This window comes from Homo sapiens, chromosome 2, assembly GCF_000001405.40.
Source record: "Homo sapiens chromosome 2, GRCh38.p14 Primary Assembly".
NCBI lineage: Eukaryota > Metazoa > Chordata > Mammalia > Primates > Hominidae > Homo > Homo sapiens.
In genome coordinates this window covers 28,129,052-28,150,938 of record NC_000002.12, presented here as the reverse complement: position 1 = coordinate 28,150,938, position 21,887 = coordinate 28,129,052, and the positions used below count along the sequence as shown (strand labels likewise).

At 40.0% G+C, this 21,887-nt stretch overlaps 1 protein-coding gene and 1 long non-coding RNA gene across 15 annotated transcripts in view, besides 1 other annotated feature; one reads left to right on the top strand and one right to left on the bottom strand.

Annotated features, from left to right (window-relative positions):
• Positions 1-2,384, top strand: part of LOC100505736 (uncharacterized) — a 58,407-nt gene extending 56,023 nt beyond the window's left edge. The window contains exon 3 of the long non-coding RNA NR_120504.1: positions 699-2,384. This is a non-coding gene — a long non-coding RNA (uncharacterized LOC100505736). The remainder of the gene's footprint in view (positions 1-698) is intronic.
• The window catches only part of BABAM2 (BRISC and BRCA1 A complex member 2), a 450,193-nt gene that overhangs the window by 187,963 nt on the left and 240,343 nt on the right, over positions 1-21,887 (bottom strand). For all 14 annotated transcript variants that reach the window (NR_137438.2, NR_137440.2, NR_137439.2 and 11 more), the window contains one exon: positions 21,559-21,668. Coding sequence is in view for 10 of the 14 variants with exons in the window: in NM_001329112.1 (NP_001316041.1) it covers positions 21,559-21,668 (110 nt within the window). In the remaining 4 variants the exon portion in view is untranslated. The remainder of the gene's footprint in view (positions 1-21,558; positions 21,669-21,887) is intronic.
• Positions 15,350-15,550: a silencer, noted in NCBI's record as "peak3638 fragment used in MPRA reporter construct". NCBI's record gives its function as "represses an SCP1 promoter by STARR-seq MPRAs in K562 erythroleukemia cells {active_cell/tissue: K562}" and the evidence as "EXISTENCE:reporter gene assay evidence [ECO:0000049][PMID:32103011]".

Here is a 21,887-nt window from a genome sequence, read left to right as displayed (position 1 = left end):
GGCAAGGACATTGAGTAGCGAGAAGCTTTTCATCATTCTCACATTGTTTTTTTTAAAAAATACATTTCTTTAAAGATAAAGAATGAAACTGCAGTTGCTGGGAGGACCATCCAGTTCACTTCTCATGTTTTACAAGTGGAGGAATCCAGAGAAGTGAAGTGACTTACCAGCCTCGGGTCACCTGGCTAGAGTGAGAGGTAGAAACCAGCGCCAGAACACAGAAGTCCTGACTTCACTGGCTGGCGCTCTTCCCTAGTCTCACGGTCTTTCCAAGAGAGAAGCACAGCTCTTTCCAAGCAGCTTTCTAACTGCTCAGGAGAGGGTGATGTCTACGAACTGGTCCTCCTTCAAGAGCCACTAAAATACTTACAGATTGCCCCATTTAGTTTACCTTAGTTCCACTTAGTTACAAGTTCAAACTTCTATCAGAACATGTGTCAACAGTTCCATGATCTTTAGAGGAAAGACAAGGGAGTGAGTTCTCTCTTTTCTGGCTGTTGTCAGGAAAAGGAGATGGCAGTACTCCAGCTTTTTCCCCCTCCCCTCTGTATTGCCATGTATCCAAGGCATTCTTTTCTTTATTACTGTAAGATACCCTGCAAAGGGCAAGAGGAAGCCATGTGGGACAGCAGATAGAACATGAGACTTGGAATCAGAGAAGGCTAGATTGTAATATTCCCTCTACTTTTCACTTGCAGGGTAGCTTGTCTGAACTACAGACAGACTTAGCTTGTCTGAACTAGAGTGTCTTCACTTGTAAAATGTAAAACATCGCCTACTCCACAAGGTTTTTGCAAGGATGAAATGAGATTCTATATGCAAAGCACCTAGTACAGTGTCTGGTTTGCATGAGCTCCTCATAGAAATTAGTTTCCTTCTCTCTTCTGCTGTTATGGTTAAGATTCGAGACAAGTAATTTAACCAGTTAGTCTCCCCTATATAATGGAAGATAATATATACTTCTGATGAAAAGATACTATGTAAAACAAAATATGATTTTAACCATCAAGATGAATACCTGGAGGCATTAATTCAATGTATAAAATATGCAAAGGTACCAATTCACTAATAAATACACTATGGCAGGAGCTTGTCCCAAGATGCCAATTTGCTGAAGCGAGAGGTACATGCTAGGGCCAAAGTGCCAGGGACACTGACTAAAGCAGCCAGAGAAGGAAGGCTACTACCCTACTAGAGATGTTCAGCACTGAGTAAAATCCCAAGACAGCTAACAACCACCCATCAAGAAATAAGCAGAGCTAAAGGAAGTGGCAACTGTACAGGCGTGTGGAGTGATACGGTGGAAAGAGCGCAGGAAAACCGGGCCCTGGAAACCCTGTGTTCTACCTCCAGATCTGCTGCCAGTGGATGTGAAAGTTTGGCAAGTCCTTTAAAATGCCTGAGTATTCATTTTAACTCTGGAAAACAGAGATGACAATGCCGGCCCTATCTAGCTTGCAAAGAGAATGTGCCTTGTAAAGTAGAAAGCACAATATAAATGTAAAGTTAAACTACTGTGATTGTGCAAATATACAAAGATAGGAAACAAAGGACTAAACTAAGGAAGCCCCAAAGGGTGACAACAAGACGGGGGAATGAAGGCCATCACTCTGATTAGGACACCAGGTGAAGGTTCCAAGGAAGTAACACCAAGGAGCTGAGTCTTCGTACCCAGTACTCAGTGTGTAGACTACCATCCATTATACCAAGGGAACAGGGCAGCACTGGTTATAAACAGGCACAAGAAACATTTAAGTTATACTCGGCTTAATTTTTTTAAAATACAATAAAAACACTACAGTAATAATGCTGTTACCATTTCCATTCCTTGTCTTTGGAATAGTACAATGGGCTTAGCATTCTCTCTTTACTGTGATGAGTGACATATTCTATAACAGGAAAATGCATTGCTATTAATAAGGAACCTAGATCATGGGGCCATAAGCTTTTGTGGACAAGCCCCACACCCAGTTTGAGCTGGTCGGCTTTTCCTGCGTGATACTGGGTCCACACAGACTACTTGGAGAGATGATCATTTATTGCAAGGATATTTGAGAACACGAGGAACAAAGGCAAGCACTTTGTGTGCACTGTGCTCACTCTGGCTCCAGCTCTCCTGGCTCTGGGATGTGGACTGGGTTTCATAAGCAAGGAGGAAAAGTTGCTTAGTGCTGTTCCAGGTAACGATCCAGAAGTGAGTGACAGTACAGCTCTTGTTTGCCCTGCATGTCTGTTACAGAGAGATCTGACTTGACTTTTGGGCCCTCCTGGTATATGGACTTGTACTGGGTGAACTGAGCAGGTCCAATCTGCTGCAGCTAGATCACTGCTAGCTCCTGGCCCATCCTCCAACAAGGCGAGCTGCCCAACTGACAGCTACAAAAAAAGAAAGAAAAAGGATTGGGTTCTGTCCCCCAAAATGTGGTTCTGCATGTAGCAGGCACTATGGCTTGATGGACTCCTTCAGTACATCCAGTTTCCTTGGTAACCCAACTATGTACTAAATGGTTTCCATGGCAAAACACGTTCCAGAGTCCAAATAACCAACCTACACATACAATTTGGAATGCAACTTATTAGTGGGGGGCTGCCTGCACTTGAAAAAATGCATAAGCTTAATAAACAGTCCTGGTTACCTTATTGTGGCACCAAAGCACATGCCTCTGAGGAGCCCATTCAAAGGGCATCACATCAGGGAAGGGGCCAGGGAGTGGGAGAGCCAAACCTAAAGTGTGCCAGACTGAGCAATGCGATACTGTTTCTGCGGTACACAGTATTCCAAGAGATGAGATCTTGATCTGAAAGTAATGGACCTGACAACCACAGAATAAGAGTAAAGTATTTCTGGCATTCCTAGAAATCTCTTCTAAGAACTGAAATAAGATTCTCAACCTTGAACAAGGTGTTCAGTCTACAATTTGGAACTCAAAGGAAAAGAAGGTATTACCTTCCTTTTCAGTTGGAGTGATAATATCCCATTAGGGGGTGTATGAAATGTAGGGAGGTATATTAAGTGGTCTCAATCACTAAGGGGTCATTCATCCAGCAGGCAAGGACCATGGATGCCAGATGTCCAAGAATGCACTGGACCATATCACAAAACAAAATGAGTACAACATCCACGTTGAGACATGTGTCCTATTACTAAAATAATTTCCTAAAGGGAGGCCGGGCGCAGTGGCTCACGCCTGTTATCCCAGCACTTTGGGAGGCCGAGACGGGTGGATCACGAGGTCAGGAGATCGAGACCATCCTGGCTAACACAGTGAAACCCCGTCTCTATTAAAAATACAAAAAATTAGCCGGGCGTGGTGGCGGGCGCCTGTAGTCCCAGCTACTCGGGAGGCTGAGGCAGGAGAATGGCATGAACCTGGGAGGCAGAGCTTGCAGTGAGCCAAGATCGTGCCACTGCATTCCAGCCTGGGGGACAGAGTGAGACTCCGTCTCCAAAAAAAAAAAAAGATTTTCCTAAAGGGAAAAATTATAACTTTTTAATGTATTTCTTGCTACTTGTCCTTTCTTCTTTAAAACAAAAAATTAAGGGGAGGAAAAAAAATCTAAATAATGTTTTTAAAAGTTCTTAATCTGTTTAATGAGAGTTCTATCACAAAGATGTGAACTTAAGCAAATGATGTAAAAGAACATTAAGAATGATTTGTCAAAATGAAGAAGGAAGCAACTTGACTTTCTAAGACAGGACAGCACAGTGTGAACAGAGGCTCCATTCTTGGGCTTGGGAGAGTAAACCTGTCATGGCACCTACTGTAACCTTCGAGTTCAGAATCCTGTGGCCCAAGGTCAGGGACTACGTAGGCCTGCTTTTCACTCTGCAACTAACTTAGATTTTCTGTCTTACATGCCAGTAGTTAGTGATTATGTAGAGGGAAGTCATTAAGTGCAAAAATCACTCATTTCAGATCTCCAAAAAGACTACGGAATTTTAGGTCTGCGATGGGCAGATCCTCCAGACCCTACTCTCTTCTGCTCCTAGTCCAATTTCAGGTTTAGGTTATTCAGAAAACTTCCTTAGTTTCAGTACTCCCTTCGGGGGTCCTGAACACTTTTAAATCTGAACTGAACTGAAAAGTCCCATATTAGCTTTTCTTAAAATTCCTAGAAATGGCTGAAAATTTTATACATGAGAGTTCTAGAGATTAAAATCCAAGTCAGGATCAGAATGGATTTGCTAGGGGGCTGAAAATCCCCTAGGCCTCCAGTTCTGACCAAAAGCCCAGTTCAGCCTCAAGATCCAAGAGACTGGGCAACATCCAGAGTCACTCAATAGTTGCAGCCACTCAACATTCTACAGTGGCCCCACTGATGGTACATCCTTTCATATTTTATTCACCACTCATGTTTCCTTGTCTGTGATTCATGTTCATGGTTTTTTGCTCACTGTCTATCAGATTTTTTGCCATTTTCTTAATTTTAAAGAGTTCTTTATTTTGGATATGAATCCTGTGCCAATTATTTTAGGCTGATAATTTGTATTTTTAAATGCAATGAGACTATGAAATGGCAATTTGGATCTGCTATCGGGGACATAAATGATCTAATGTAGGAAATGCTAATATGCACATGGAAAAACTTTAAAATATGATGAGGGTAGGAAGTAGACAAGAATTCTAGCCAAGAGGAACTTCAACAAGTGAGCTTAAGAATAGTCTGCTGACTTCAAAGAATATCATCAAGAAAATGAAAAGACAACACACAGAATGGGAGAAAATATTTGCAAATTATGTATCTAATAAAAGTCTAGTGTCCAGAATATATAAAGAACTCTTACAACTCAATAACAAGAAAAATAAAGCAACTTAAAAATGGGCAAAAGGTCTGAATTGGCATTTCTCCTAAGGGATTTGAAAATATGTGTTTACACAAAAACTTATTAACATGAATATTCACAGCAACATTATTCACAATAGGCAAAAAGTGGTAACAATCCAAATGTCTACTACCTAATGAATGGATAAATCAAATGTGGTATATTGATATACTGGAGTATTATTCCACAATGAAAATGAATGAAGTATTGATACATGCTAAAACATGGATGAACCTTGAAAACATTATGCTAAAAAAAAGAAGTCAGTCACAAAAGACCACATATTGTATGATTCCACTTACATAAAATGTCCAGAACAGGCAAATCCATAGAGACAGAAAGTAAATTAATAATTGTCAAAGGCTGGAGGGTTGGGGAAAACTGGGAGTAACTGCAAAGGGTGTGGGATATCTTTTCTGGGGTGAGGAAAGTGTTCTAAAATTGATTGTGGTGATGGCTGCACAACTCTGCAAATATACTGAAAACCACTGAACTGTACACTTTAAATGGGTGAGCTGTACAGGAATTATAGCTCAATAAAACTACTAACAAATAAATAAAAGAATAGGCTGAGGCAAAAAGTAGTGAAGGAAAGGGAAAGAATGACAGAATGCCTTAAACCCAGGGTGACAATTAATTTTAGGTTTCTGCTACAGTGTATTTTCCTTTGGCCCTTAGTAGGTATCTCTAAAAATGAGCAGAAAACGCAACTTGTAAAAGGCAGTGAAAGTCAGGAAAGAGAGGTAATATACAAAGCCAGGAGTCAGGCAAGGGGAGGCTGGAGCCAAATAGCTGAAAAATGTAAGGGTCTAGATTTAAACAGCAAGGGCTGAGACAAAGGAGAAGAGATGCGTATTTACAGATATAAGAACATGCAGGGCATCCTCCCAGCTCTTTCTGTCTGTGCTTCATCTTTCTCCTTTGTTTCATTTCTGTCCAACACTGTCTATAAGTCACACCACACTGGAAAGATCAGTGATTCTCAAGTGTTTAGTAAGTATATAAATCACTAAGGGTACTTGTTAAAAGCACAGGTTCCTAAAACCACACCCAGAACTTTAGATTCAGAATGTGGGTGGCCCCAGAAATCCACTTTTAATCAAATCCCAACCTCATGTTGATGCAGGTGCTGTGAGGACCACACTCGGAGCACTGGTGTGTGACCTCCATGGTCCGGAGCCCCCTCCAAGGAACTAGTGGGTAGCATGTAAGACCAAGGACTTTGGAAGCTAACAGATCTGGGTTTGAATCCTGTTATTGCCACATACTCATTGTTGACCTCTGACAGTTACTTAACATCTGTGTGCCTTAATATCTCCATGTGTCTTCAGACCCAAAGGTCTATTGTGCACACTGAATAAAATAGTGTTTGTAACAGGTTCAGCACAGTGTCTTCAGTGTCGTGGCTTCTGGATTGCTCTTGTCTGTGATTCTTGTCCCTGGCCAGCGTATCACTGCCATGGCCGGTGGACATCTCACTGCTATCTCAATAAAAACTTTAGAGAAGGAGCCTTAATTCAGAGTCAGTGGATCCCTAAAGCATTTGGGCTTATATACAAGCAAGTCCATGCATGTTCTGAAGAATATGCAAGATTATCTGGGGGTAGAGGGAGTTGTGGATGGTTACAGCTATCATGAGATTCTCAAGTTTGAAGTGGGGTTGTGACTCAAGCAAAGTCTAGAGCTGACCCCTGAGAGAAATATTTAGTCCCTCACTTCAGATGTCTGCTTCTACATTTTCCTCACTAGTTTATCCTAAATGAATTCAGGTGACTGGTATTACCTAAGGTCCCTGTGCACAGTATCTAGAGGGAATTTCAAAAATTGGGGTCCCTGAACATTTTGAAAGAAGGATTCAGAAGAAGATGTTGATGTTGATGATGATGACAGTAACAGCAAGAACAGCAACTTATAATACATCAGGTATTTACAATGTGCCTGGCACTATGCTAAACACTTAAACACATTCTCTCATCTAATCCTGGCAAAGATTCTATGAGGGTTCTAGACAAAGAAACTGAGTTATACAGAAATTATGTAACGTCCAGTAGTTCACACGACTACAAAGCGGCAACCAGGGCTCAAACCCAAATGTTACCGCAAAGCAGTGGTCTTAACCAGTGTGTGCCTTTGCATTTCACTAAAGACTTTATCATGATGGGAGGGGCAGGTGGGTCAGGATAGAAGGTAAAGAGGCTGTTGAGGGTAGAGATGAAGTTCTATTTCTGAATGAACTTCAGAACTCAGGTAAGTTTCTGATCCTTTCTCTGTTTTGTCACCATAAAATGGGGGCAACAGTGGCAACGAACCTCATAGGGTTGTTGTGAGAACTGAATGAGCTAACAGGTATAGAGCGCTTAACACATGTGGCATGAGTGTTCATTGGTATTAGCCACTAGTAGTATCCAGCATCAGTATCCACATACATATATTTTCCTATAGAAATAGTTAATATGGTTTTGATGTTTAGGTTTTTTCATTTTTTCAATTGTATATATTTAAGGTATACAACATGATGTTTTTGATATACATACACATAGTAAAATGATTACTATAGTAAAACAAATAATATGTTCATCACTTTCCATAGTTACTTGTGTGTGTGTTAAAAGCACATAAAATCTACTCTCTTAGCAAATTTTCAGTATACAATATAACATTATTAATTATAGTCCTCATGCTGTATATCTGATCTCTAGATTTATTCATCCTACACAAACTGCAAGTTTGTATTCTTTGACCTACTTCTCCCTATTTTCCTACCTCTTCCCCACCCCTGGTAACCACTGTTGTACTCTCTGTTTCTGTGTATTTGACATTTTGTTTAGATTCCACATATAAGTGAGATCAGGCAGTATTTTTCTTTCTATGCTTGGCTTATTTCACTTAGCATAATGTCTTCCAGGTTCATCCACGTTGCCTTTATGAAGGCTGAATACTAGTCCATTGTTTTATATATATATATATATTTCTTTATCCAATAATCTGTCAGTGGACAATTAGGTTGTTTCCCTACTGATGATCATTTCAGTTGTTTCCACCATTTTCACCCTTAACATTAAATTACAGGGCCAAGTTAATCTACACTTTTAAGAAAGAGTTTGAAAAAAGTAAATGAACAATCTCTGGTGAACAACTCTACCAGGGTGGAAATAACAAAGACCAATCACCAAAATATCTATCTACACACAAATATTCTGAAGGGTTTTCATATTGAATGAACACAAAAATCTAAAATTTTAAAATATCATGCTCCATAATCTGTTTTTTTCAAGGAATAATATATGATGATATTATAGTTAATGAATCCTTAAAAGCTCTCAAAATAATTTCCTTTAGCTTTAAAACACATTAAATTGGTTGTGCTAAACTCTGACAAAGTTAAAGTTAGGAAAAAAGTACTAGGTCAGAGGAGGAAATGAAAACATGGAAGTGTTATCACCATTTGGTCATAAACTCCTTTTCTCAGAGAAACATGGCTATAAAAATCTGTTCCAGGATAAAAACTTGGCACAAAGAAACCCAATCTGACATCATACTTTTTAAAGATTAGGGTGGAGTAGGGAGAGGAGGGATTAAAAAGTGGGAGGGAAAATTCTTTGCATGCAGGGAAAAAAAGGTTGTCAGTAAAGTACATTTTCCACTGATACATATAACTTCTTCAAATTAATGGTTTGGCTCAGCTGAAATTTGCCAAGGTAGATTTCAGGCTTTTTCAAAAATGACCTCTATTTTGTTGAAGCTGTCTATAAAAGAGAATGTTCACAGACAGGAGGTTCATTCCCTGTTATGGTCCTATTTGCAATATTATGTTAACCCATCATTTGTTTTGTTTTAAACTAAAGGCTTCCCCATTCATTAAGTCATTAGTGTTGCTAATGAAAGACAGCGTGTCTGAATTTTAACAAGTCTAGAAAAACTCCAATATGATCATTAATCCCTCTATTACAGGACTCAAAATCAGACATACCAGGATCAAATTATATGCTCTTTAATAAAACTTCACACAGGAAAATCTGAAAACATTGATGTTAGACCGTTCCTCCAACAACAGTGTACAGAGCTCCACTTCATATATGAATTTTACACATTTAAGAGCCTTAGTCACTGCCTACTTACACCAAACTTGTAATCAAGAACCATACCATTACTTTAGATACTAAATAATTACCTTTTAAAACCATGCTGTGGACATAACATACCTTCTACAGCAAAGATGAAGTAGAACAACTTTATTTTTAAAATCCACCTGACATACCCCCCATCCACATTGATATTCTGCCCTGAAAACTAAGTAAATGATGCTTTATTAATATAACAAACCAATCATTGATCATTGTCTAGATGGAAACATACTGATATGAGAAAATCATGGAAAATCTGAGAGCTAGGGGCCCTGGAAGGACCAGTGCTGTGAACAACATGAGCTTAATGAGGTCATGGTCCTAACACAAGAGGAAAGCTCTGAAGTGCTGGTTTTAATACCCTAGAGCCTTGCTCCTTCTGGAATTCTTCTGTCCCCATCATGAAATAAATTAGGAAACCTAGGTGTTTGTGTTGGGTGGGGAGGCATCAGAGTAGGAGAGGTCTTCATGAATCTCTCATTCTGCAGTAATAGGGGTAAAAACTGCTTCCTAACATCAGAATTATGTTAGCTATCGAGAGCAAGAAAAAAGTTAAAAGTGTGTTCTTATTTAGGCAAATATCAATAAATATGAACAACAGAATTCTTGCAAAAATGATCATCCATTATATATCCTTTATAACAAATGTTCCCAATCTGTTGGCCTCATGGCATCATGGGGGTTTAGGGTTGCTAGAACAAGTTTACTAAATGATCACACACCAAGCATTATTTGAAGACTGAATAAATGCTCTGTGTGTGTGTATGTGTGTGATATATACACACATATACATATATGTGTATGTTATGAACCGAATATTTATGCCCCCAAAATCCACATGTTGAAGCCCTAACCCCCAATGCAATAGTATTAGGAGGTGGGGCCTTTGGAAGGTAATTTGGTTTAGATAAGGTCATGAGGGTAGAGTCCCCATGATGGAATAAGTACTTTTACAAGAAAAAGAAGAGATATGAGGGCTTCCACTCTACTGTGTGAGGATACAGCAAGAAGGTGGCCATTTGCAAGCTAGGAAAAGGGTCATCACCAGACACCAAATTTATTAGCACCTTGATCTGGAATGTTTTAGCAACCACATTGTGAGAAATAAACTTCTACCATTTAAGCCATCCAGTCTATGGTATTTTGCTATGGCAGGACAAGCTAAGACAATGCATATGTATACATATGTATATATACACACACATAGCTACATATATCTTTTATACACACGTGTTAGGTGTGTATGTATGCACATATACTTACAGCACATATACAATATGTGCATATATACATGTATATATGTATTTGTCTTTCAAATATATACTTATACTGTTGTGATTAAAAAATACAAGTATATTTAAAAGGCATTTTGAATTCATTTATTAATATGAAATGCTAAAAGTATTACTTCTATCCCTAGGGATCTATGAAATGCTTTTGAAATTTATTTTTTACCCATAGTAAAATTTACTCTTTGTGATATACAGTTCTATGGGTTTTGACAAATATGTAGAGTTGTATATTCACCGTGACAACAGAGAATAATTCCACCATTCTAAAAAAATTGCCTTGTCCTGCCTCTTTGTAGTCAAGCGCTTCTCCTATGCCCATATAAAAGGTTTTGACATTAATAAAAGGTCCTCATACTTGGAAGATATTGGAATAATGGTCTCACAGTGTTGATGACCATCTGTTTTATAACCTTAAGCTACCTTTTTTATACATTGGTTTCTACTTCCATCAAGTGTCTGACATAAAGGATTGAAGGGGAAAGTCACTGAAACAACAGGATAGGAGGAATTAGAGACTTAGAGTTCAGACTTCAAGATAGTACAAAGAAATAAATGCTAGAACTTGAAGATGGAAGAGATATAGGTAGAAAAAAAAGAAATATGCCTGAGAGATGCAGGAAAAGCATTGAGTTGGATAAAGCTGATGAGTGATCATTTACGAGGAAAAGTAATAAACTCTGTTTATTACAAGGAAAAGTAATAAACTCTGTTTTTAAGCAAGAGAATGATAGATCAGATTTGTGTTTTCAGAAGACTACTCTGTCTGTAATGTGGCAACTAGACTGAAGTGGGGAAAAAGGAGATGCAGGGAGACCAGTTACCAGTCCTGTTTAGAGATGCTAGTAGCTCAGATAAGTCATCACAAAGGATAGAAGTTTAATATAAAACCACAAGAAGTGAAGACAAACAGGAAAGCATTTCAACAGCTACACAGCTAGAATATCTCTAGTATGTCATTCAGAGCACATCTGCAATCCCAGTCAATCCTTGTAGAAAACTGGAATCATCAAGACACAATACAGAAAGACATCTAGCAATATGGCTAACTGGATAACCTAGAGTCCTCCTGCAACAAAACACTAAGAGGTGTTGAATAAATTTTTTTTATTTTTTATTTACTCATTTTTTTTGAGATGGAGTCTCACTCTGTCACCAGGCTGGAGTGCAGTGGTGCAATCTAAGCTCACTGCAACCTCCATCTCCCAGGTTCAAGCAATTCTCCTGCCTCAGCCTCCCAAGCAGCTGGGACTAGAAGCGCATGCCACCAAACCCAGCTAATCTTTGCATTTTTAGTAGAGGCAGGGTTTCACCATGTTGGCCAGGATGGTCTCCACCTCTTTTTTTTCTTTTTCTTTTTTTTTTTTTTTTTTTTTTTTGAGACGGAGTTTCACTCTTGTCGCCCAGGCTGGAGTGCAATGGTGCGTTCTTGGCTTACTGCAACCTCCACCTCTCCGTTCAAGCGATTCTCCTGCCTCAGCCTCCCAGCTAGTGATCCCCCTGCCTCGGACTCCTAGAGTGCTGGGATTATAGACGTGAGCCATTGCGCCCAGCTGAAAAAAAATGTTTAAACATAGTTACACTTCCTCCAAATTAAGAATAATTCCCAGGAGTACCTATCCCTGGTCCCACTACCTATGGCTTGGGTATCTGGGGCACATGGTCCACAGCAGGCTGTGAGTGTGGTGGGCACTGAGGCTTCTCAGAGAGAACAATGTCATATGCAGTTTTCCTGCATGGTCTGTCCTGTAAAGAGGCATAAAGGCTGTTGTACCAAGGAAGTGACAGGGATCAAGCTCTGTTTTATTGAGATTAATCTAGCAAAGAATAAGATACTTAGAGGCTTGAAACAGGCTGGGGCAAGGGTGAGGAGATGAACATGAGAGACGACACACAAGCAAAATGAACTGGCAATTGATTAGATATGGGAAGCAATAGCAAGAGGTCAAAAATAGGATGCCTGGGTTTCATGGCTAGGGTCATTAGAAGGAGGGTAAAGCCATTAATGAAAATAAAGAACATGGGAGAAGTATAGATTTGGGGGACAGGAAGACAGGAAGTGTTAGATGATAATTCACACTTTAAATATTACATATGAAGATATAATGACTATTCTAGCATGAGACAATATAGAAGACATTAAAAATGCAGAACTGAACTATAGAATATAGATCCTTAAATGAGGTTTAGGAATTGCTTTAGGGGAAGGTGCGTTACTCTCCAAACTATATTTAAACTTTTTATGCATATATATTTTTCTAGGGTGAAGTCTATGGCTCTCATTAGATTTTCAAAGAGGTCTGTGTCAATCTGCTATTCCTTTAAACATACTGTGTCAACTTTGGTTACTGTTAATCTCTGGTGTTGTACAGTTTCCTTACGATATGTCTAGGTGTCAATTTCTTTTTATTTGGCCTGTTTGAGATTCACCGGACTTTCTCAATCTGAGGGTTGATATCTTCCATCAGTTCTGGGACATCCTGGGGGCATTTTCCCATCTACTTTCTGATTTCTTTGCTCAATGTTTTTGTTAACTAGCACTTTGCATCTCAGACCTTCCACTGAGGAATGTTTTCCTACTTGTGAATAAATATAAATGAACAGCAACTGCATAAAACAGTAATGATCGGTGTGAAAAGCTTTGCTGTTAAGAAATAGTGTTAAACTGGAAATCATGAATTTCTCATCTTCACGGCAGAAAAAAAATCTGCACAAAACCCTTGAGATGTTTTGCAGAAAGGTGCTAGGCCTGATTTTTTAAATTAAGATATAGTATATCTTATAGCTTTAGACTAATTATTATGCTGTAGAGAGGAGTATAGCATTTAAGAGAAATAAGGCATAGAACTTCCCCAAGACTCAAAATAAATTTAAGACAGAACTTAAGGGTCAAACAAGTTTAAGAAACATGTACCAGTGAGATTTGAATTATCACAGATTTATATACATCTTCTTTCTAAATGTGTATTTTCTGCCTAAAAAGGAAGCTAGATAAAAACACTGAGATATCACTAACTTAAGTGGCTAGGGAGGTGGGAGTTCTACACCAGAATGTTTCCAAAAATATGATATTTTGGGGCTGATTGATTTTCTCCCCCAACTAAATTCTGTTCTGGTTCTTTTTTGTAATATTTCAAAGCAAAGGCTGAGCTCTTGATCTTTTGGGAGGCACAGGCAAGACAAAAGGCCAAACTCACTAATGAAAACTTGCTGAACTTACTTTTCAGAATTCCATTCTAAGTCATGAAGAACCCTTTTGGCCCTGCTCCCAGACTAGTAAAACGAACATCTCAAGTCCCTAGAGGATAAGACAGCTCTCTCTACCAAAATCAAATACATATCTTCTCCTGAGAGCTGGCTGTCTTAGCATACTCAGGACCATCTATTTATCAAAGGACTAAAGAAAAAAACTCTCCAGGAGCACAATATTTATTATAGGATTATCTCAGTGACTCGAGAAAACATGAGTAAGGCTAAATTAAACCATGTTTACTATTACGTTCTATTACTTAAATCCTGACACAAAATCAGCCTAAGAGATCTGGAAGGTCTCTTTTTTGAGAAGACTGATACGGATTTTTTTTCAAGGCAAGAATTTTTTTCTTTAAAATCTATACCTGTTAGTTATACAATTTTTCTCATTGTTTTAAAAATATTTTAAGCATCTAAAATAAAAATTTTCCATTCTGTTAAGATATCAAATTTGGTGGTAAATAAAATCACATATACCAATATATTTAACTTGCTTATTGCTTTTAAAAAACGTATTTGATCCAATTTATCCGAATGTAATATCCTTACTCATTCATAATTTTAAGTAGTATTATTTTAATTTTCAGTTCCCCTCACCCTTTCCCTAGGTCCTTTAGCCAAGTTTCACTTTATCCCAGCCCTTGTAGATCCCAGGCTATCCAAATATTCCAAGAGACCATGTTTGCTGCCAGGCACGCTGTGGGGTAAAGGCAGGGGAGGGGAGGCTGGAGACGCCAACAGGACTATATTAGGTCACATAGGTCACAGAAGATCAAAGTCATATTCCACCTCCAGGATTCAGTTGATAAACCGCTCTTATGAAACAGGGCTCCACCTCTCAGAAACATGAACAGGCGACCATAAAGGAAAGTATCCTCCTGGCTAGCCACAAGGCACAGCAATAAGAAATGACTGTGAAAGCCCACCGCCTTAACATGCACATAGTGTCACAGCTTTCTGCCTCTCCAGCCAGACCTGTCAATGGAGACTGTGGTTGAGCTTGGGCAGGGGCCTGGCTAGGGCCAGCCTGGCCAGAGGGGCTGTGGCTCACCAGCCCTCAACTGATGGAAAAGAGGCCCAGGCCTTAAAGAGTTTAGAGTCCAGGGAGGCAATATGACAAAGGAGGCATAAACACAGGGAAAAAGTGTGGTGCCATTGTGGAGGCAGGCAGTGGCGGTCAGGAAATGTTCCATGGAGGAGGTGATGATTGAGAAGATCTAAGAACATGGGCAGGACTTTAACGGACCCTGTGGGGGAGGTAAATAAACTCAATGTTCTGGTCTAAGGAGCAGCCTGAGCAAGGTATGGAAGTGAAAAAAATACAAGATGTGTTCGGGAAATCACAAAATTCTGCTTGGCTGGACAACAGGATACACGTAGAGTCCAGCCTAGGGTGGAAAAGTGAACAGGACTGTAACACGGAATCTGAATGCCAGATGGAGAGCTGTGCATTTACTTCGCTTGGCAACAGAGAGGCATTGAAGCTTCTCAGCAAGGACATTACAGGACTGGAATTTACTTCAAAGGACAGTGACAGTTCCACATGGATAAACTGAAATAGGAAGGAACTAGAAGTTAAGAGCCCCTCAGGACCCATGGCAACTGGAAGACTGAACTAGGTAATGATAGTAGGCATGACAAGACTCAGAGACATTGTGGAGAGTGGGTTTTTAGTCCAAAACAACTGGCTGGCTAATAGGGGCATGAGGTATGGTCAATGCCTTTAAGATGTACCACCTGGGCACCAAGAAGACAAGAGTGTCATGAATAAAAACAGGCTGTAAAGAAGAAACATTAGCTTATTGGGGGAATGATGAGTTTAGTTTCAGGCCCTTTAAATTTGAGGTGTCAACTGAACACACAGATAGACATGTCTATCTAGTGGTTAGAGAAGCAGATCTGTAAGCAGGGAGAAATGCTGAGATTAGAAATGGGGATCTGGGTGTCATCCACAAACAGGCAATGCCACAAAAGTGTCTAGGGATGTTATCACAGGAAGCACAATTTAGCATAATTTAATGGGTTGAAAAAAGGAAGGAGTAGCAGTGAAGGAGACAAGGAAGGATCTAAAAACTCCAAGTTATGGAAGAAAAAAGCTATATTATAAAACACATGATAGACATACTATCATGAGGATCAGATGGGATGGTAAAGTGAAAAGCAGTTTGAATATTTTAAAGTACTGAACAAATACATATCTGTTATTGTTACAGTATTGCATATTTAATCTCTAGAAAAGCCAGGCTTTCCATAATCTTCCAAAGCTCCTTCTCCACCAAGTCAAATGGAAATGTGATCTCCCACTCTCTTGAACTCTTATAGCACTTAATAAGTATTTTCTCAAGGAGCACTAACTAAGCATCAACCATGGGCCAAGCACTACAGTAGGGCCTTTCTCATCTACCTCCCCACTTGGAGTAGATGAAACTGAAACTTAGATTTATTCCTCTTCACAGAAGATGAAATGAAGCTCAAAAACGTTAACTTAAGCCAAGATTGCCAGCCAATAAGTGAAGGAACAGGGGGCTTCTGATGCCATGTATTAATATGCCTTTTCTATTAATCCACAAGTCACAACTTGCCATATTTGTTCTGATCCCTCTTACTTTGAGGAAATTAAGGAGATGAGCCACATTTCATTTATGCTGACAGCCTCTGAAGCACCTAGCAAAGGGCCTCACATGTGGTTGATTCTCATTGGGTTTCTGTTGCCTGAAAGAACAAACATGCATATTGCAGGTACACAGGCCTCAATAATAGTGAGCGTTCGTGGGCTGGGAAGTTTTGAGTACTCATTTCCAAGGCAGATGTAACTTAACAAAAAGTTCTAAAAACAAATTCTGTACTTGTGAAAGATGCCACCTGGTCTGCCTCAGGGCTGAAGTCCTCTTTTTATGCACAGAGTGGGAACAGCACAGGGAATGAGGAAGCTGGTTGTCTTTAAACCACTCCCACAAAGTGGCTCAAGCCAAGAAAAGGGCCCACACCTTTCGTGGAAGAGTGCTATGCAGACTCTCATGCCCATTTAACCTTTGGGTTCACTACAACAACTGCCAACAGTCTGGGGAAGAGGGAAAGGTAGAGCATGTTTCACGCCAGCTCTGATGATGTAACCTTAAAACTCACAGCTTTTCTGCCAGGGGAAAAAAAAGCAACTGGTTTAGAAACTATTTTTTCCCCTTTTCTAATATTCAACCAAAATCTAATTTGCATCATTGACTACTAGCTTTTTTTTTTTTTTTTTGCATAACTCACCATTGACTTTTTTTTTTTTTTAATTAACAGAACTTACTCGTGTCTAATTCAACGGATTGGTTTTGGTTCCTTGGAAGACAAATGTATAGGGCCAGAAATATGTTTATTTCATAAATGTCCCTTGTGCAAGAACACAAAGTTCTTCTCAGAAGCATTTACTCTGCAAGTCATAGAAATGCGCAGTGGGAGACCGGTAAACAATATGCATCTAAGCATCGTAAGGGCGTGCAGCCACGTGCGGCAGGGCTGCCAGGGACACCAGACAACTATTCCACGACCCTGGGCAAACAGACTTCAGAAGTGGGATCACATTTCAGAGCTTCATCAAATTAGAACACATCTCAGAGTCTTCTACCAATGAATCTGACTGATGTTCTCTTTTGTCAGGATTGTCTAATTTGTAGTCTTTTTAGGGTACAACAAATCAATATTTTTTCCTACATATGATGACAAGACCCAAAAGTAGCCCTTTTCTTTTCCAATTGCTGGGAGTAGTTAACGTGAGTATAATATCTTTGCCTCCTGCATGGACAAGCTGGGACAGAGGAACAGTCAGACTGGAATGGGGTTCCTCCCAGGCCCACGATATCTCTCTATGCCCATGGAGGAGATGGTGGGAATGCAAGCCTTCTCTTGGTAATTTTTACCCAGTGTGGATGGGGCTATTGGTCTCTCCTGAGCCTCTCCCTGTCAAATGCACTGCATGGGGCTTGGGACTTCCTAGAAAGAGCCATAGCAGAAACCAAAAGGAGTACAAGCCTCAGCTAGGGCAAGAGTTTGACGTTGGCTTTGGGCGGGTCCACATGGGATGCTTTTCCCATGACTCCTGAAAGAACTCTCCAAGTCTGAATCGATAATCAATGCTTGGATAGCTCAAAGTTGACAAGATAGTATAAAACACAGAAAATAAATGAGAGCTTAGCACAGTCAGTTCTCAAAACCTATCCCATGACTACAGCCTTCTTGAAATGGCATGTCTGTTCTATGCTCTGAACTCTGGAAGAATTAACCACAAGTATTAATAACTTTAGCAAATATCTAAGCCCTTATAGAAGTCATACCCCAAGTTTACTTCTTTTATGTTAATCTTTCTCTAAAACCTCATTTTGAAAACTTCTACTTAAAGATATAAGAATGTTTGGTAGTTTGTTTTGGTATTATAAACGTAGTTCTACCAAGTGAATTTGTAGCAACCAGGAAAAGTATAAGACCTTTCAGTGAGGCATTTTCCAATATTTTGGTGAGAACTACTTATTCACCTAGAAGACTGCCAATTAGGCAATTGATAACTGTGTATTGCATTTATGCACGGCATTAAAAAAAAGACTTGTTCCTCAACTCAATAAGTAGCTTGCAATTCAGCAAAAGATTTTTAAAAATCCTTATCACCAATTAAAGCTATGATGGGTAGATTATAATATAAATATAGATTATAAGATTAATATAAATTCAGTGTTACAAAGAGCTCTGGGGAAGGCTAGACTAATTGTCCTCAGGGAAAATGGTTGGTAGAGATGGTATTTGAATAAGGCCTTAGAAAAAGTATAGTATTTCAACAGGAAGAGGGGTTAGAGAAGGGCCTTGTACATGGAAGGAGCAGCTTTAGCAAAAGCACAGAGGCAAGAGAGTGCTGGCAATGTAAGAAAACTTCAAGTGCTCAGGTCTGGCTGAAGGAAACAGTATATGAGGGGAAGCAACCGAAAAATGATCTAAAAGGGTATGCTGTGGAGAGCTCTTAACGTAAGAAAGAAGAAGAGGCCAGGCGTGGTGGCTCACGCCTGTAATCTCAGCACTTTGGGAGGCCGAGGTGGGTGGATCACGAGGTCAGGAGTTTGAGACCATCCTGGCTAACATGGTGAAACCCCGTCTCTACTAAAAATACAAAAAATTAGCCGGGCGTGGTGGCGGGCGCCTGTAGTCCCAGCTACTCGGGAGGCTGAGGCAGGAGAATGGCGTGAACCCGGGAGGCGGAGCTTGCAGTGAGCGGAGATGGTGCCACTGCACTCCAGCCTGGGGGACGGAACGAGATTCCGTCTCAAAAAAAAAAAAAAGAAGAAGAAGAAAGAAAAAAAAGGGAGGAAGGACATGAGAGAGCTGGACTTTGGAGATTGGAAAAATGACTTTTAAAATATACCCTTCCCTAATCATTTCCCACACGTTAGATTTTTAGAGTGAGACTATTTCATTAGCAAGTTTATTTGCAAATTAGGTGTAGTAACTTCCAAGAAAAACAACCTAGCTGCTGGAACAAATGTTTTTCTGAGCTGGCAAATTATTGCCTGCAGCTTAACTAATATATTCATATTGCCCACATCTTGCGATTGTTTCATTAACTCTTTGCTCATCACCAAAGCACCTTTGTAATTTAACTCATTAGTTACACAATGAGTGGCTACGCTAGAACTGGTACTTGCTCCCTTATTTACCCATCCTCTCCTTTTCTGCCCCAACTTATCCCTGCTAAACACTCACTCGTTCTTCTCCTATGAACTGTATCAATAATAATAATATTCATGGCTATTACTTGCTGAGTGTTTACTGTAGTGCCAGGCACTGTGATTAATGCTTTATGAACAGTATTAATATAATCCTGAAAACAACACTAAGAAATAGGTATTATTATGTCTATTTTATGACTGAGGAAACAAGCTCAGAGAAGTTACATTTTGTGACAGCTGGTGAGTGGCAGGAACCAGGTTTAAACTAGATCTGCTTGACTCAGAGCCCTTGCCTTATGCCACGTCATTCTACTGCCTCTGGTATCCACTGATCGCTTACTAATATGGGTCAGTATTTTCAATTAAAAAATAATAGGCCGGGCGCGGTGGCTCACGCCTGTAATCCCAGCACTTTGGGAGGCCGAGGCGGGCGGATCACGAGGTCAGGAGATCGAGACCATCCCGGCTAAAACGGTGAAACCCCGTCTCTACTAAAAATACAAAAAATTAGCCGGGCGTAGTGGCGGGCGCCTGTAGTCCCAGCTACTTGGGAGGCTGAGGCAGGAGAATGGCGTGAACCCGGGAGGCGGAGCTTGCAGTGAGCCGAGATTGCGCCACTGCACTCCAGCCTGGGCGACAGAGCGAGACTCCGTCTCAAAAAAAAAAAAAAAAAAAATAATAATAATAATAATAATAATAATAAAACACTCTTTGGGGCCAGGCACTGTGGCTCATGCCTGTAATCCTAGCACTTTGGGAGGCCGAAGCGGGCAGATCACCTGAGGTCAGGAGTTCGAGACCAGCTTGGCCAACATGGTGAAACTCTGTCTCTAATGAAAATACAAAAAATTAGCTGGGCGTGGTGGCTGGTGCCTGTAGTCCCAGGTACTCGGGAGGCTGAAACCCGAGAATCACTTGAACCCAGAAGGTGGAGGTTGCAGTGAGCCGAGATTGCACCACTGCACTCCAGCCTGGATGACAGAGTGAGACTCTGTCTCAAAACAAACAAACAAACAAAAAACAAAAAACAGAAACATTCTTTGGGAGGCCGAGGCAGCAGAATCACTTGAGCCTAGGAGTTTGAGACTAGCCTGGGCAATAGAGCGAGACCCGGTCTCTACAAAAATAAAAATAAAAACATTAGGCATGCATGGTGGCACCTGGAGTCCTAGCCACTTGGGAGACTGAGGTAGGAGGGTCACTTGAGCCCAGGAGGTCAAGGCTGCAGTGAGCCATAAGCATGCCACTACACTCCAGCCTGGGTGACAGAGTGAGACGCTGTCTCAAAACAAAAATTAAACATTCATTGAGTGTCTGCTACTGTAAAATCCTGTTCTAAGTGCTGTGTCAGATATATAAAAAGACAAGAGAATGCCTATAGATTATTGATGTTCATAAGCTCCCATATTTGAGTATAAACAGCTGTGTCATATTGGTTTTTAAGATGATGTGTCCATGATTTATAAATTAGAGCAACTAAGGTCGGAAGGGGTAAAAATGGCTCAGTATTTTTACTAAGAATGCTAGATAGTGACCACATCTACTCACAGACAGAAATCAGCCAACTGTAACTAAATGACTCACAGAGAATTTTAATAATACATTTCAATCAGAGTCTGTAAAAACTCTCTCTGCTGATGAAAAATCTGTCCTGTCAGAAGTTCCCAACCAAATCTGCTTATAATCCATTTTCAATGAACCTCAGCTTCCTTTGAAGTAGAATAAGCTACTAAAGCATTTCACCCACAATAAGCACACTGTGAATTCAGGCCTTACAAAATTCATTACTGATGAATAATGTTACTTGGTTATAACACAAATGCGATATCAAACTACTTCTGCCATGTAGCCTGAATGTTGTGTAAAATTATACGCAGCTATTTCGATGCAGCAAAATAAAACATGTTATCTTTTTAAGCTATCTACTTTTAATATTAGCTTTACTAACTTCTGAGTCAGTTTTTGCTAAATATTTTGAAGAGGCTAGTTACATTTTACAAATAACATTAATAGTTACAAATAAGTAAGAAATTGGGCCAGATGTTTAGCAGCCCACTGTAGGCTACAACCATTCGAACTCCAGGGAACATCTGGAAGGAGTCTCAATTTTGGACTCAGTCTGCCTATTCTTTTCTCTCTACAAAGGTACAGTATTCATGTCACTAAATGCACAATAACACTTGCCAAAAGGGTGTAGTGGCAAGTACTAACTGCATTTACTCTGCAATGGAAACTCTTAATATGATGAATTTTTTAAGAAAACAAAAGTCAATGAAGAGAAATAAATGTAAGAGTTCAAGAGTGGCAAAAGAAAGAATGAGACATATTGGTTAGCAAGAAGTAGCACCAGGCTACCTCATGTTAATGACACTTACTGCTCAATTCGAGGTGACAAGTACAGCTTGGGGTACACCTGGGTGGCTTCAGTGTCCTCAAAACTAACAGAGAGGAGGGCCACATCTTCTCCAGGGTCTTCATTTACATCCTTAAACAAGAAGTGAAAACACAACATCAGCACCTGTTCTCCTAACATCTTATTAGTGTCAAGCTCACAGTCCACTGGCATTGAAGCCATGACTGTGAGTTACCCTTATTCCACTTTAGCTTAGCTGCTTTGCACATCCTTTCCACACACCTACCCACTCCTCTAGAGGGATGGATTTTAAACTTTCTGAGCAAAGCCCACCACAGCAAAGCGAAAGAC